At 32.9% G+C, this 18,037-nt stretch overlaps 1 long non-coding RNA gene across 1 annotated transcript in view; it reads left to right on the top strand.

Moving 5' to 3' along the window:
• The window catches only part of LOC105369146 (uncharacterized), a 46,073-nt gene extending 36,151 nt beyond the window's left edge, over window positions 1-9,922 (top strand). The window contains exon 5 of the long non-coding RNA NR_136264.1: window positions 9,897-9,922. This is a non-coding gene — a long non-coding RNA (uncharacterized LOC105369146). The remainder of the gene's footprint in view (window positions 1-9,896) is intronic.
• The last annotated feature ends 8,115 nt before the right edge of the window (window positions 9,923-18,037 follow it).

The raw sequence follows: 18,037 nt of genomic DNA, 5'->3' as shown, positions 1-18,037 counted from the left end.
ATTGAAAGCTTCTCCCAGTCAACTTCAAAATCTTAAAATACTTAAATTACCTTTGTCTCTTTGATATACATATGATTAATATGTATTCAGTGTTTGTATTTTTAATAACACTATTTACTTATTTTTATTATCATTGATTTTAAGCAGAAATGGAAAGTTGTAGGTTTAGATGTACCAACACATTGCCCCACTTCTTTGCTTTTCCTTCTTTCTTCAAGTTCAGACATTCCTTCTGTGATGATTTTTTCTTTTCTTCAAATAAATATTTATAAATGCCTTTAGAATGTGGGAATAGTAATGATAAACTCTTTTTTATTTCATTTAATATTTTATTTTAAATATTCTTGAAAGATAATGTAATTAACACAAATTAATAGTAGCAATCATTGAGAAGTCGGCAAATACTACTTCTGTTAACATCTTTTCTTCTTTAGTGTTAGTTTTATGATGTGTTCTGATAGATTCATTTTTAGATATACTGTTTGAAGTACATTATGCTTTCTATATATGTGAATTTATCTGTTCTTGAAAATATATGGTCACCATGCTTTCAAATGGTGCATATTTTCCTTCCTTTTTATTCTCTAGAACTTGGATACCAATTAGATATGAGACACTCTCATTTGATTCTCCATTTCTCTTAATCATTCCTCTTTATTTGTATTTCTTTGTACTACATTCTGTGCAATTTCTTTACATTTACATTCCAATTTACTGATTATTTCATCGACTACGTTTTGTCTACTGTTAACCTATTCATTGTTTTAAACCATTTTTTTTAATTTCTAAAAGTTACGTTTAATTCTTTTTAAATATGCTTGGATCATTTTTTATAGTCTTTGCTTCTTTTTCCTGATAGTCTATGTTTTACTTTTTAAACACTTTATATTTATCTCTTAATAATTTAAATATATGAAGCACTTAGAGGCCTAAACTCCTACTGGCTGTATTAGCAAATGCTCATTTAATGGGTCATTTTCCTCTATGAGATCTTTGGTTTTGATTCACATATGAGTGATCTAATGGGAATCCTGGAGTGAAAGCTGAGGATGCCTTCTTCCAAAAAGAACTTACCTTTTGCTTCTGTTTTGAGACAGGGCTCATTACCCATTAAAAACTACTGTAATCTTCTTCAAGCAGCCTTTTGTACCTGGTTTTCAGCTATCTTATTTCCTGCTGCTTCAAATCTGAACCTCAGGATTGAAGTGCTGATAAAGTCACTGGCCAGTTTTATCATTTACTTGCAAATTTGAGTTGCAATTTCTCTTTTTTAAAAAAAATTTCTCCTGACCATAAAATGTCAATTCTATAGATCCCATGGTACACATTAATCATAATATTTTACTAGAACCTTTTTATTTGTAGCAGTACAGCCCTTCAGAGCTGCTGATCTGATTACCATCAAAAACAAAATTCTCAAATAGACTTTTTGATTACTTTCATTCAATTAATGTATGCTGGTGATAGTACTACAACCTGCTCTTTGGAAATCACTGGTGCACACAGTCAACGCACTTAAGAATATTTTAGAGTAAAAATTATGTATTTTGATTACAAATTTTAAAGAATTATCCCCCACTGTTCTTAACTTTTTATCTGATGAGCATCATCATGTTTTTCTGAGTTTCCATTTGAGATTTTTAAAGGTTTTAAAAAAATATTGATATATAAAACTTAAAGAGATATTTAAGCGCATGTTCCAGATGATTTTTTTTAATTGCCACCTAAACATTTTCTCCACGCAGATAAAAAATTTAGTTCTCATTAACTTAGTAAAAATGGGAACCCAAATCTAAGAGCTACATTTATGCGGACAATAAATCGTTAACTTTACAGCTCTACTGAAATTTCATGTAAACTCAATGAAATGTATCATATGAATAGTAGTAGTGCTAGTATAGCTCTTGTTGATTTAGATTATTAGTCTGCAAAATTGAATCATGACTTGTATCATATAATGAATCATACATAATCCATCATACTAGTGTTAGAAAAAATAAAGCCATAAAGCACTCACAAAATACAGTTTATAGTGGAAAATCTGTCACTTTACAAAAGGCAAATACAAAGTTCATATAACAAATAGAAATACTTGAACCTAAATCTAATTGGGGAATTGGAACATTTTAGGAATCTGTAACTATCATTTTGCATCTTGAACTCTACTGCAAAGACTTGGAATTTTTCATCAAATCCTCAACCATATTTAGTATTTATTGGACAATTCATTGAAACAGTGATCTTACACATTCTGCACATCACAATCAGATGAGTAGCTTGCTCAAAACAGAAATTGTTGGAACCCATCATAGGCCTACAAAATTAGAATCCTTGGAAAATTAGGTATTTTTAATTTTTAAGAATTTCAGATAATTCTGGAACAGACAATTCAAAAACAGACTAATCTCTAACTTAATTCTTATACTCAAATTATGTGAAATAAATTGGATCTTACATTAACCAACAATTGGACATACATTTATTTAGTAAAATTAAAATGGAAACATAATTTTTGAAAGGATTTGAGGTTTTCTTATCTGACCATTTATAATGGCAAAAAAGAAAATAATAATAAATTGTAATTTTTTTCTAGCTGAAGATGAATTTCTGTACTGTATTTTCTCCTCTACTTCCTGTAAGAATTCTTTTCTAACTGCTGTCTCTTTCTGTGCTCTAAAAACCTAAAACACTCTCAGGTGATTGATTTAGCATACAGAATTTTTTAAAGATTTAATATATAAATGTTTTATCTCACAACTATAATGTTCATTTTTTGGAGTTAGACATATTGCCATATGGTATTATGTTTTCCCACAATTTCTAGAACAATATTTAAAAAGTGTACAAACACATTATTAATGTTTGGTAGTTTTATATTATGGATTATATGTACAATTACTTACAAATGTAATACTGCGATTACATTTATGATTTTTTTATTTAGCAGAGAGCATGTTACATTGACAAACAAAAACAATCAAGCTACCAATGTCCAGTTTAGGAACTTGGGAATTCTTTGGTTTGATTGATTGTGCACCACTGTACCAAAAATGCCTTCTGGGATCTCCTTCCTTTCCAAGTCACAGAGTATGCTCTTCACCAGAGATCACAGCTATTCTCATTTATAGGAATAATAAATGTACTATATTGTTCTCCATTTGTTTTGAAACAAGAAAAAGCACTTATCTTGCCTTTACATGAAGACATCTCCCTCACTCATCTGTCCATGTCTTAAACATACATAATTAGGTATTATAATTAGCATTTTATGCTCTGGTATCCCCAAGTATCCCCTCATGTGCATATGTGTCTATAACCACAAACACACACACGATTATAAATATATGTAATTATATATGTGCAAATATATATTTGTACAAGTATAAACATATATAAATATAGATATACAAATATATACCTAAATATAACAGGTATAATATTATATATACATAGATATGTATATAAATACATATATAAATATGCATATACGTACCAAAAGATAGAGACAGCTACAGGTGCAAAAGCATAAATGCCAATAGAAAAAGAAACGCCTTTTGGTGTTAAACACTTTTACTTGAACTGTGTTTTGAAATGATGAGGCTTTAGTTCCATATATATATAAATTAAATAGGGAAGAAGACATGAATAGTTAAGATTTGAGTAGCTACATTTTAAAGGCCCCACAAATTTTGATGTACAGCCCAGTTGATGACTTCTAATCTAGAAAATCTCTAAATTTCTTCTACCTTTCAAAGTCAATAAAATAATTTGAGTTTACATTAATTAATAATGGCTTATACATTTATTTTTAAATATATATAATAAAATCCTAAATTTAGAGAATTTTTGTCTGATTATTCAAAATGTAAACAAGCCAAAAATATTTATATGACATTATGGTAAATTCTGAATGTTACTGCCTGTTAGTCTTCTATAAACTGTTTCTTAACTGTTATCACTGTGTCTTCTGAACTTTAACAGTAACACTGGAGTTAGCACATCGTTTTTGTTTCATGTTTCCAGTTCTATCTTATCAAATAGAAACAAACTCCTTGAGCTTAACCGCTATGGCATACTCTAATGTTGATTATTAAAGTTCTAGTTAAAACTAAAACATTATATCACTGTAAATAATAGAAGTTGCCCAGGTTAAGTACTAATTTCAACAAGAATAAAAGCAAACTAGTTTATGTTAACAAAAATGTAAAGAATCATTTTATGTTAAATTAGTATTGTATAAATTTAAAAGTGATGGTGTTTGTAATCTTTATAATATATAGTAAGTATTCTTCACATTTGAAGATGGGTTTGTTCTTGAGAGATTTGGTGTCAAATATAGTTAAAAATAACATGAAATACAGTGAGATTCTTTAATAGAGTTGATTATTTTATGAACTGAAAAATTTACTAATTTTACCTGATTTGGGAAATTCAGAATTCCATTTTGTTTTTTATAGTTGGTAAATATATAGGTAGAGACCAAAATAAAAGCTTCATGAACTTGTCACCAACTTATATGTAATATAATTTATAGAATATTACATTCAAAGAGTTTTGCCAAAATTATCACCATTTAGTCTGTTAATCTATGAGAGCCAAAATTTTAAAACACTAAGGGTAATATATAAACCTGTTTGTCTGTCCATGAACCCCCAATAGGCATTGAATATTCATACAAATAACTGTCTATCATGTTAAAAGAAATATAAAAATTTCACACTTTCTCTAAACATTTCTGCAAGAGAATGCCTTATTTACAAGTACTCAGGCTCTTACTTTCCTCTTGCAGAGTGAGTTCTCAGCTTCATAATTTTATGACTACTACCCTCCTTCAGGTAATAGCAAACAGTATATAGTGTCCATTTTCGCTTGGCATGTTATTATTTAAAAATTGGCTCAACTCTACTAAGCGTTCATGTAAAATAATTCATTTAACTGAAATTTATATTAAGGAAATGGCTCTTAGCTGTCCAAATTGTCCAGAAGTTTATCTTATTTGTATTCTAATAATTGACACAAATTTTACACTTAAAAAATCTATCCTATCTCCAGAATGCAAGAAGAAAATAATAAGAAATAATATTAAAATTATAATTTCTATATTGAGATCATGTATTAAAAATAAAATATAGATAGCTTTGGTTTCTTTAATAAATATTTAAAAATGTATAATATATTAGCTAAGTATATAACAATACAGAAATTAAAATCTTTTTCTTATTAAAGATAATTCCAACTTAATTTATGTCTCTTTAATAGGGAACAGTTTTTAAAAATATCCCAGATAAATTGGCTGTTTGTTTTAGTTATTGAAATTTATTTAATAAATAAATGTAACAAAATTTTAGAGTATGAGCATTCCAGAAGTTTAATAATTCCAATTATTTAAAGGTTATAAATAGCTAAAAACTTTCTCTCTCTCTTGTAGATTTGTATCAAACAATTTTCCACAGACCAATAGTTCTAATATTTTAATTGGGAACATTTAGAAACGTGGATGTGCTATATTGTGTTGTAACTGGAGATTCAGTTAGAGAAATCATGGTCTTTTGCCAAGATTAATTCTGGCAAGCAACATTGGCATAATATATTAAAGCCCATGTCATAGAAACAGCACCTCAGAAATGGGAACTGAGGATTCAAGACTGGCAGAGTCTCCTAGTGCTTAATGTTAAGAACTAGCTTAAAGGGTAGTCATAATGATATTGGAGAAGGAATAATTCTTCCTTCCAACATGTTCTCAGAGTCCAAAAATATAGAGGAGATGGCAAAAAGATTGTTGAAAAATTACAGGTCTAGAAAATTAGGTCAAGAGATGAACTTGGAAGCCACCAATAAATAAAAGCCATAAATAATCATATAAATATTTTTGAAAGTCTTTTGACAATTTCTGGATAACGAATATTATTATACTCACTAAGGATATTGTCCTTCTACTTTATCCTTTTTAATAATGCTTACTCTCTTTAGGCTTGTTGATTCCTCATTAAAGATATGGATTCCCTTTTTTAAAAAATTTTACTTTAAGATCTGGGATACATGTGCAGAACATGCAGATTTGTTACATAGGTATACATGTGCCAGGGTGGTTTGCTGCACCTATCCACTCGTCATCTAGATTTTAAACCCTGCATGCATTAGGTATTTGTCTCAATGCTCTCGCTCCCCTAGCCCCCCCAACCCCCAACAGGCTCGGGCGTGTGATGTTGCCCTCCCTGTGTCCATGTGTTCTCATTGTTCAACTTCCACTTATGAGTGAGAATGTGCGGTGTTTGGTTTTCTGTTCCTATGTTAGTTTGCTGAGAATGATGCTTCCAGCTTCAACCATGTTCCTGCAAAGGACATGAACTCATTCTTCTTTATGGCTGCATAGTATTGATATGGATTCAGTTTTAAAGGTAACAAGCTTCATAAGAAAATCCATGGATAATTTCAATTCAATTAACTAACTCATGCTCTTCCCATTTAATAATTCTTGTTCTTATAACCATAAAGTGCTTGTTCTTAAACAATTCTCATTGCTTCTTTATAAATTGACACTATGCTTACAGTGATGATACTACGCTAGAACCCCCATAATCAAGCCATTAGAGGTCATAAGTGCTATTCTATGACTTTTTAGTGTGAGACAATTGAAATTTAAATAATATATTGTCTTATAATATATTGTTCATGGAAGACCTGCTGCATATTCCAATCAGTAGTATTAGTAGTTCAGTATATCTGCTTTATTTCACAAATGAATACTTCAGGAGAGAGGAAAAGGTGAAGGAATGAGTAAGTCCAGTGGGCAAATGAGTGGTAAAATGAATTTTCTGTGAAGAGACACATCATGCAAAGTTGTAGAGGTGAGGAACCCTGCCAATGTCCAGTTTTGAGGATTTAAAACAGCTTGATTATTCTGTAATCATAGGATCTCAGCCATTAGATATATATGTGTGTGTGTGTGTTTGTATGTGAAATGTATCTGTAGTTTGTATGAACGTATCTATAGCATAAAACTCTATAACTTAGCACTCACACTCTGCAAAGCAAGAAAGCTATGTAGATCAGTAGGTCCAAAAAATATAGTTATCTGAAGAACTCTCAGCTTACTCCTAGAAAGGTTACTAAGCATTCCTTACATGGAAGAAATATCATTTCCTTAAGAGGGAGGGGCATCTTAAGGATAATACAAAATTAAATAACAGTATTATAGGACGTGAGAGTTATTTAAGTAATGGAGTGGATTTCAGTGTGTGTTCATATTAATAGCAAATTCTCTCTAACCCAAAGGAAAACAGTTTTTCTGAAATTTTTATTCTACTCCAGGGAAAATCAGAATATAAGATAATACAATAAACAAATGTATTTTAACAGTAATTTCCACCCACATCTTATTATAGCTATTGATTATTGATTTCTGCAATGTTTTTCTGTTTGTGCCTTCAATATCTTTTCCACATCTGGTTTTATACAGGCATTTTCTTGAAATATATATGTACATATTTTTCCTTTCTTATGAAATGGAAAGAAACAAATAGGAAGAAATGAGAGTTTAGTTTAAATACTGGGCAATAATTTTTCTTTTCATAGACAAACCTAGATACCTGTGTTTGATTTGAAAGTGTTTTATAACTAAAATTTCACTTTAAAATGTTACAAGTATGGCTGGTTAATTTAAAAAATATTTGATCAGCAAGGGGAAAGTGTTTAGAATTTTATTTAAAATGTAAGCTTATGGCCTGGCATGGCGACTCATGCTTGTAATCCCAGGACTTTGGAAGGCCAACGGAGGTGGATCACTTCAGCCTAGGAGTTCAAGACAAGCCTGGGCAATATAGACCTCATCTCTACAAATTTTAGTTTTTTAAAATTGATTGGGTATAGAGCATGCTGCCAGCTACTTGGGAGGCTGAGATGGGAGAACGACTTGAGCCCAGGTGGTCCAGATTGCAGTAAGCCATGGTCACACCACTGCACTCCAGCCTGGATGGCAGAGTGAGACTCTGTCTCAAAAAAAAAAAAAAAATTAAACATAAAGAAATCATAAAACAGAAAAACCAGAGTTTGTTAGATGTGAAACAGCTTTGAGAGCATGGAAACTGAACAATCATTTAAAAGACTGAGAAATGCCCCTCTTTCAATGAAGTGACACTATTCAGAATATCTTTTAAGATATAAAGGAGACTTTTTCTGAGAGCACATAACAGAAGCAGAACATTTGGTAACAGTGTAAACTCTGATAATGGTGAAGTAGAAAGCAGTATTAAGTAGAGAGGCAGTATAGCACACCAGTTAAAATTTGGACTGTAGAGTTATGTGTTTTGACTTCAGGTTCTCTCTATTTGTGTTTGAGCTTGCACATTTTATTTTGTCTGTTTTCACTTTCTATTACAGGATATTTTTCATGGTGTTATTGTGTGGTATATGTATTAATGTAGGTAGATATTCAATAAATATTAATTGTTTTATTATTATGTACTATTACTAAAGCAGCTATGAAAAATATTGTGAATGAACAGATGCTATCTTTCCCTTTTTTAAGCTATACTTGGAAGGAGAGAGGGAGACTAATGATGTGTCATTTCCTGGGAAATATGGTTAACAATGCCTTAATTTTAAAGGAATCAGTATTTAAATAGTGAAATTGAGTTTAAATATTAGCAACTGTCCTTTATGGCCTCCAGCAGACAATCCAGCAAACCAAGCTGCATCTGCAGTGGAGAGAAAAATACAGTGGAATTTGCTCTGCACTCTCAGGTGGGCTTCTAAGAAACTAACTGTTCAAAGAGGAAGAGCCCAAGGATGCTCAAGTATTACTAAGGAAAGTAAGGAAAGTATAAGTTGAAGTAGGCACTTCATTTTCTTAAATCAAGGGCATAAATTGGATTGATTTTACATTTCATTCTGAAAAATTAGTAGTGTCTTCGTTGAGTATTACTTTGAAAATAACTCTGAGACTGTGTATATTCTTCAGGAGCCATAACTATTGTAAGAATTTAGGAATGAACCGTAATTCTAGATAGTCTGAATTAGTTGTAAACATAAAAAATGCTTGGGAACTCTCACGGAGTTATCCGTATGTTTTGGCAATGACAGATATCAATGAAACAGTTACTTTAATAGACTAGCAATGTCCGTTACAGGGAAGAAGAAAGATGGTGGCAAGTAGCTTATCAGACAGTTTGTATCAAAGTCAAAGCTTAGGCTCTTTGATTCTATAATCTAGAGTCAAATAATGTAAACATTCCCAAAGATAATATAATTCCGCTGTCAATCTAATTGCTGAAATCATCGGTATGTTTGAAACAAGTCACATGATATACTAGAATGTGAATTTCTTTAGAACAAAATCTATGCTGCGTTTACATGCAAAAAAAAAGGACTTGAAATCATTAAAAGTGAATGTTTCTAACAACAAGATTGTCTAATAGTGAAATACGCTTCCTTTTAGGTGGTGAATGCTCCTGAGATATTGTTTAAGAGACTTCATGTCATGTATCTTCTGGAATAAAGGGAAATTATTAATACTGTCTATAATAATTTAAAGATTAATAATGTCTATACCACTAAGTTTCCAATCTAACTTTAAAATTCAATAATCTCATAAATGTCATGATTATCTGTCCTAGCCTTATTACATAGGAAATAGGCATCTATTAAATAAAAATTAATTCCTCATTCATAAAATTAAAAATAAGATGTAGAATTTACTTCTGAGTATCCCCAAACTAGAAAGTATCTGTGATGAAACACTAAAATATATTATTCAAGATGAACTGTAAGTGATGAGCAATAAATCATTAGCAGTTATAAAGCTGAAAATAATGCATCTAAAATTAGGCAAATAATTTATGAAGTACAGCAAGATTTTTAAGACATAACCTGAAATAGAATATATTTTTGTTTTATAGAATATGAATGATGAGCCTCCTGTATGCAATCCACCACATTTGGAAACTCAAATTTATTCCACTGTTGAGTCCTTTCATTCAGCTCAACTGTTTAGCAAAGATTCTCCACAGGAACATCTGAGCTATTCAATTGTAGGAGGTAAGTCATATAATTTCAAAAATGTTATTTCTCTGCTATTTTACAAAATACTCATGTGAGATATTTTGTAACCATTGGAAATATATTATGAAACATATTTTAAAATAAAAATGTAAGACAGTCGAAATCACAATACATAATGTAATTTTATTTCCTTTTTATTACCTAATCATTCTCAGGAAATACAAATAATCAATTCACACTTAGGAGACTAGGTGTTAATCCTCCTTTCTGGCCGTCACACAAAATTTCCAGTATGAGGTATTTCAAGGGGTTCAGAGCCCTATGACTTTCCAGCTACTTATTGAAGTCACTGATGAATTAGGTGGGATAAGCCTAGTCAGCTGTCAGCCACTACAACAGTCATAATTCATGTCCTTCCCTGGACCACAACACAGCCAACTTCTTCCACAAAAACAACTACAACTACAGTAAGTACTTAGTGATGAAATATAATTCTAAAGTCATCTGAATTAGTCATAAACATAGAAAGTGCCTGGAAACTCTCACAGGAGTTAACCTTGTGTTTTGGCAATGAAAGACATCAATAAAACAGTTATTTTAATACATTTGGATTCTCATCATCAGTGTAAGGAGAAATTATTGAAGCCATTAAGCATTAATTTTGAATCAAAGTAAATATATCAATGTTAATCATTTTTATGGGCCCTTTCAAGATTTAGTTCAGAATTATTAGTAATTCTGTTGATTCTCATCACAGTATACTTTTCTTGATTTAAATTAGAACTTATAAAGGTTTTTAATGTAAATAACACCATATTGAGCTCATAAAATATTTAACAAGCTTGTTTTTTTGAAAAATATGCAGTCTGACGGGAAGACAAGATATACACTTTGGCTGAGTCAGTTCAAACTGCTTTTAAAAAATGCCATAGACTAGGTGGTATAAACAACAGACACATATTTCTCATGGTTCTGGACGCTGGGAAGCCCCATGTTAAGGTATCAGCACATTTAGTATTTTTTCTGGTTAATAGATGGCTATCTTCTCACTATGTTCCCACACCGTGGAAAGAGGGATAGACAGCTCTCTGGGGTCTTTTTTATAAGGACTCTAATGTCATTCATGAGGGACCCACCCTCATGACCTAATCACCTAAAAAATGTCCCACCTCCTGATACCATCACATTGAGGGGTGAGGATTTTAACATGTTAATTTTGAGGGAACACAAACATTCAGTCCATAACACATTTATTTAAAAAGTTACAGAAAAGCCTTCCCATTGGTTGACTTAATAGTCAAGAAGTTTTGCCTTAGTTATACAAAATCAGTATAATACAAATTTGAATATTCTTGATCCACAGGGAAAAAAATTGATTGGGGTGGTATAGGACTGGTCATTCTACCAAGTGTCTCAAAGAAGCAAATTAAAATTTTCCCTGTAACACAGTAACAGTATTCTAGCCTTCCAATTAGTCTAATAATTTTTCAATCCAATTGACACACCACATGATTAAATATAGCCAGGCACATAAGAAGATAAGATACTATAACCAACTGAGAAGTAACAGAACCACAAAAAGCAGAAACACAGTAGCTATAAGTAATGGATTATCAAACATAAACTCAATTATTATTAAGCTCATGAAATGTAAACCAAGTTTGAAATTTGGTTAGGGTGTTGGAGACTATAACGGTAATAGAATATGTTAAAATAGTTCAAATATATCTAGAAATTGAAAATACAATAACAAATTACAACTTGATAGATGGATTTAATGGCTGATTAGAAACAGCCAAAGAGACAATTAAGAACTGAAGATATGTCAGAAGAAACTATCTAGAATGAGATATGGAAAGACAAAAATGATGGGAATTACTAACGGAGAGGGAGGACATAAAATTGAGAAAGAGAAGAGCTGGTTTATTTTAACTTGAGAGATGAGACAGGGAGAGGAAAAGAAGCAGTGTCTAAATATTTTCAAAATTGATTAAAGATAACAAACTGTAAATTGAAGAAGTCTTATGATTCCCTAGAGGAAAAAATGAAAAGAAATTTATACTTAAACACAACATAGAAAATCTACATAAAATCCAAATAAAACAAGAAATATTAAAATCAGTTGTGGAAAAAAAGGAAAGATTTCCTTCAAATGAGTGTTCACAAGACAGCTGACTTTATAATAAAAATAATGGAAGCTAGAAAAATTGAAATGTTTGAGTAACAGAAAGAAAATAACTCCACCTAGAATTCTATACCCAGCAAAAAATACATTTAGGGGCAAATATATAAGCTTTCAATTTGGCTTTAACTGGATCTCATAGTATTTTTATTCATTCATTCTAAAATATTCTCTGTTCCCTTAACTTCTAAAGATATGGAGAATTTTCTAGTTATCTGTTTCAATTTTTAGTATAATTATTTAGGATCAGAGATTATAACCTTCGTGACTTCAATCAACTGAAATAGATGGGGAATTGCTTTACAGTCTGATACATGATTCAATTTTGTAAATGTTCATGGGGTCATATGATGTTTGTCAAAATGAAACTACAGAGCAATGGTAAAAAGATGAGAGTTTCAAGAAATTATACTGGGCAACTGATATGCATATAGACATAGTAGAAACAATCCCCTATAAATCAAGTCTAAATGCATTATAGACATAAAATGGCAATAATAAATAAAATAACTATACTTTAGAAAGAATTTAAGAGACTACCTTATTAATTTTGTAATAGGGAAAGATTTCATAAATAAGACAACACAAAACTAGAATAAGAAAAAAAATTAGAAAATTGAATACTTTAGAATTAAGAACTTCTTACGGATGAAAGGATAGGATGTCTAACCTTTGGATTAAAATAATTTGGGGTGGAGAGGAGTAAGAAAGAATAAAGATTAAATAAAACAGTATACATTGACAACTATTGGTATTGTATGATGGCTATCTGGTGGATTATTGTAATATTTTTATACTTTTGTGTATGTGTTAGGTATCATAAAAAGTAGTTGTAAAATAATTGAAAGGAAAATAATCTGAGATGCCCATGAACTTTGTAAAACTATTAGTATTTAATATGGTAAAGTGCTCCTCAAATTACCCTCACAGATAAAATATTCTCACTTATTTAGTGCTTCACTAAAACTGTGTTATCTGCTTTAGAGCTTTTAGTCATACATTTTATATAGTTAAACTCTATAATTTATTATTTAAATCATGAATATTCTCCTGGTCATCAGCAAAATGCTTCTGAGTCCTGCTCCCCACTCCATGGCATATGACAATATAACTTTCTTTCATATTCCACAAATATATATTAAAATTGTTTGATAAGTCAGGTAAATATTGCCTAAGACTAAGTTATATTGTCAGTGATATTGTAAGGTATTATCGTAGAATTTCAAACAGTTAAAAAATGTTGTTTTTCATTTCTGGCTCAACATGAACCTCATCTCTTTAATTTTGAGTCAATTTTCTCTGCTATAATAGATCTTGCTCCTTTGGGAGAGATCATATTTAGCCTGTATCATCGAGGAAAAAAAAGTTCCTAATTTATGTTAACACATGGATTTCCATCATTCAGTTTCCCAATTAGTAAAGCAAAATCTAGCAAAGCAGAAGACATTGTAATAAAACATTATAGATAAACAAATTTTGCAACAAGATGTGAAAGGATTCTAAAATTTGTAGTTGAGCTAAGGGGTATTCTAATCTATATACTTCCTTTAGTAATCTACATTAGGCTTGCTAAAAGAGGCAAACCAATTAATACTGTCTTGAAATGATTACCAACCTGTGACTTATGAATTTATTACCAAAGACTGTAGCAAATGGTCCATCTTTTCTCCATAACCAGTATCAGCTTTTATATTTATATGTGTACTAATATAATACGCACATCTCTGCAGGGAGACATATGTGCAAAAAGTGTAACCAAACCAGAAGTAACCTTAGAAATTCTGTGTTTCAACTAATTCATTGTGTAAGAAGGGAAAATGATATGCAGATAGGTTATCACTTACATTTGCTTGAGAGTGAGTAAACACACAAACACACCTATATATTTTACGATAGCCTTTAAAAAACTAATATTTCTAAACATTTGTTAAATGCAGCGTTGACTAGCCATTATTTATATTTGGGTACATGTATTAGTCTGTTTTCACGCTGCTGATAAAGACATACCCGTGACTGGGAAGAAAAAGAGGTTTAATTGGACTTACAGTTCCACATGGCTGTGGAGGTCTCAGAATCATGGCGGGAGGTGAAAAGCACTTCTTACGTGTTGGCAGCAAGAGAAAATGAGGAAGAAGCAAAAGTGGAAGCCCCTGATAAACCCATCAGATCTGGTGAGACTTATTCACTATCACGAGAATAGCACAGGAAAGACCAGCCCCCATGATTCAATTACCTCCCCCTGGGTTCCTCCCCCAACAAGTGGAAATTCTGGGAGATACAATTCAAGTTGAGATTTGGGTGGGAACAGAGCCAAACCATATCATTCCGCCCCTGGACCCACCAAATCTCATCTCCTCACATTTTAAAACCAATCATGCCTTCCCAACTGTCCCCTAAAGTCTTAGCTCATTTCAGCATTAACCCAAAATTTCATAGTCCAAAGTCTCATCTGAGACAAAGCAAGTCCCTTTCCGCCTACGAGCCTGTAAAATCAAAAGCAAGCTAGTTACTTCCTAGATATAATGGGGGTACAGGTATTGGGTAAATACAGCCATTCCACATGGGAGAAATTGGCCAAAACAAAGGGGTTAAAGGGCCTATCCAAGTCTGAAATCCAGCGGGGCAGTCAAATTTTAAAGCTTTAAAATGATCTCCTTTGACTCCAGGTCTCACATCCAAGTCACACTGATCCAAGAGATGGGTTCTCATGGTCTTTGGCAGCTCCACCCCTGTGATTTTGCAGGGTACAGCCTCCCTCGTGGCTGTTTTTGTGGGCTGGTATTAAGTGTCTGTGCCTTTTCCAGGTGCACGGTGCAAGCTGTCTGTGGATCTAACATTCTGGGGTCTGGAGGATGGTGGCCCTCTTCTCACAGCTCCACTAGGCAGTGCCCCAGCAGACACTCTGTGTGAGGGCTCTGACCCCACATTTCCCTTCTGCACTGCCCTAGCAGAGGTTCTCCATGAGGGCCCTGCCTCTGCAGCAAACTTTTGCCTAGACATCCAGGCATTTCCACACATCTGAAATCTAGGCGGGGGTTCTCAAACCTCAGTTCTTGACTTCTGTGTACCCGCAGGCTCAACAACACGTGGAAGCTGCCAAGACTTGGGGCTTCCACCCACTGAAGCCACAGTCCGAGCTGTATGTCGGCCCCTTTCCACCACGCTGTAGCAGCTGGCACACAGGGCACCAAATCCCTGGGCTGCACACAGTACGGGATCCCTTGGCACAGCCCACAAAACCACGTTTTCTTCCTGGGCCTCTGGGCCTGTGATGGGAGGGGCTGGCCTGAAGGTCTCCGACATGGCCTGGAGCCATTTTCCACACCCCCCCACCACCCCCCACCCCCACCCCCCGTCTTGGAGGTTAACATTAGGCTCCTTGCTACTTATGCAAATTTCTGCAGCTGGCTTGAATCTCTCCCCAGAAAATGGGATTTTCTTTTCCATGGCATAGTCAGGCTGCAAATTTTCCAAACTTTTATGCTCTGCTTCTCCTATAAAACTGAATGCCTTTAACAGTACCCAAGTCACCCCTTGGATGCTTTTCTGCTTAGAAAATTCTTCCTCCAGATACCCTAAATCATCTTTCTCAAGTTCAAAGTTCCACAAATTGCTAGGGCAGGGATAAAATGACGCCAGTCTCTTTGCTAAAACGTAACAAGGGTCATCTTTACTCCAGTTCCCAACAAGTTTCTCATCTCCATCTGAGACTACCTCAGCCTGGACCTTATTGTCCATATCACTATCAGCATTTTCGGCAAAGCCATTCAACAAGTCTCTATGAAGTTCCAAACCTTCCCACATTTACCTGTCTTCTTCTGAGCCCTCCAAACTGTTCCAACTGCTGCCCTGTTACCCACTTCCAAAGTCGCTTCCACATTTTCGGGTATTTATCAGCAATGCCCTACTCTAGTGGTACCAATTTACTCTATTAGTCCATTTCCACGCTGCTGATAAAGACATACCCGAAACTGGGAAGACAAAGGGTTTTAATTGGACTTACAGTTCCGCATGGCTGGGGAGGCCTCAGAGTCATGGCCTCAGAGTCATGAAAGTCCACTTCTTGCATGGCAGTGGCAAGAGAAAACGAGGAAGAAGCAAAAGTGGAAACCCTTGATAAACCCAACAGGTTTCGTGAGACTTATTCACTATCAGGAGAATAGCACAGAAAAGATCAGCCCCCATGATTCAATTACCTCCCCCGGGTCCCTCCCACAACATGTGGGAATTCTGGGAGATACAAAACATATTAAGTTGATATTTGAGAGGGGACACAGCCAAACCATATCAGTATGTTATAAAGGTCACCTGTATTTCCAACTATCTGACTATTTCCCAACTGTATGGTCAAACCTTGTGCTTGGTGTTGGCGAACAAAGTTAAGAAAGTCAGAGAAAATCCTTCTTACTATAAATGGTGGAATATCCAACTGTAACTGGTTTAAATAATAAACATTCATGTTCAGAAAGTGGAGGATTATTACAGCATAAATTTGAAGATACCTGTACAACATCCTAAGGAAGATGGACTTTGTCTTCCAATCAGAGAGGATCTAAAGAAAGATTACAAGAGAGGGTGACAGTATCAGCTATTTCTAAGTATGAATGATTTTAGAATAAAGATGTAAAAATATGAAAATATGAAAGGAAGATTGGTGGATGGAGATAAAGTGCTCACAAAACGAGTTAGGAGCTTGTTTTAATAATCCAGATGAAAGACTTAGGCTCCAAACCAAGGCAATAGTACTTTATGTGAAGATGAACTGCTCCATCAAAAATATACATAATTAATAGAATTCACCATCTATTTTATTTAAAATGTGTGCATTAGAATATATGTATTATGATATATCATGGGAAAGAGAATTTCTGTTAGGACCTAGCCATTATTATTATAGACTGTATATTTTATTATTATTAATACAAAGCAGATCTTTCTATTTAGAATATTGGATGAGATATGAAAACTTAAAAACATTTCTGAGTGGTTAGAATATACTGCTAGAATTTTATCTGCTTCTAAAATATAACTATAAAAGTCTATTTCAGAAATAGAACATTCTTAAAGCCAGATTGCTAGCAATGTCTATGAATTTTAGAGGGAAAAAAAGGCCTAATGATAAAAAGTTCAAAGTAATTAAGAACAAATTCAATTACACTACAAATATTACGGGAGACAACTTCAGCATGAAATTCACTATAAATGCAGATTTTTTAAGGAAAACTTCATTCTACTTTCTTTAGAAAAAAATTAGAGCATCCCATAAACTGTATCTACTGAAAGCGTTCAATAAAGATCATTGCACATTTTACAATGCCAAATATGGTACTTGATAAATCAAAGACCAATGTCATATGTTATCAGAAAGGTATGTGATAGTTCATAATTGGGAGGAGGGGAGGTTCATGAACTGTGTTAAAATCTGATGAAAGCTTATGGCTCCTCTCTCTAGAACAACACATACATATTACATGTGTGTACATGTATGAATTTTATATTCAATTTTAGAGCCTGTAAAACCCATCCATGGAATCCAGGTTGCAAAACACTGACTGAAAACAAGAGTTTATCAGTGCTTTTGAATTTGTTAAAAAAAAATGTTTTCATGAGCAAAATATGTTTCTATTAGTATATAGTAAAAGTCACTAACACATAGCTACAGGGAAAGTTTTACATAATATATTCCTTAAATATGTCAATATTTGGCATGCACTAGTAGACATTAGAATAAATAAAATAATACCTTGAAACCTAGGAAGGAGAATAGAAAGAAATCCTTTTATCTTAAATGTAGAAAAACTTAGTTAAAAAAGCTGATGATAAATAAGCCCAACCCTAAATTAAACAAAATAAACA

Source organism: Homo sapiens, chromosome 7 (genome assembly GCF_000001405.40).
Source record: "Homo sapiens chromosome 7, GRCh38.p14 Primary Assembly".
NCBI classification, from domain to species: Eukaryota; Metazoa; Chordata; class Mammalia; order Primates; family Hominidae; genus Homo; species Homo sapiens.
This window is presented reverse-complemented; position numbering and strand designations above follow the sequence as displayed.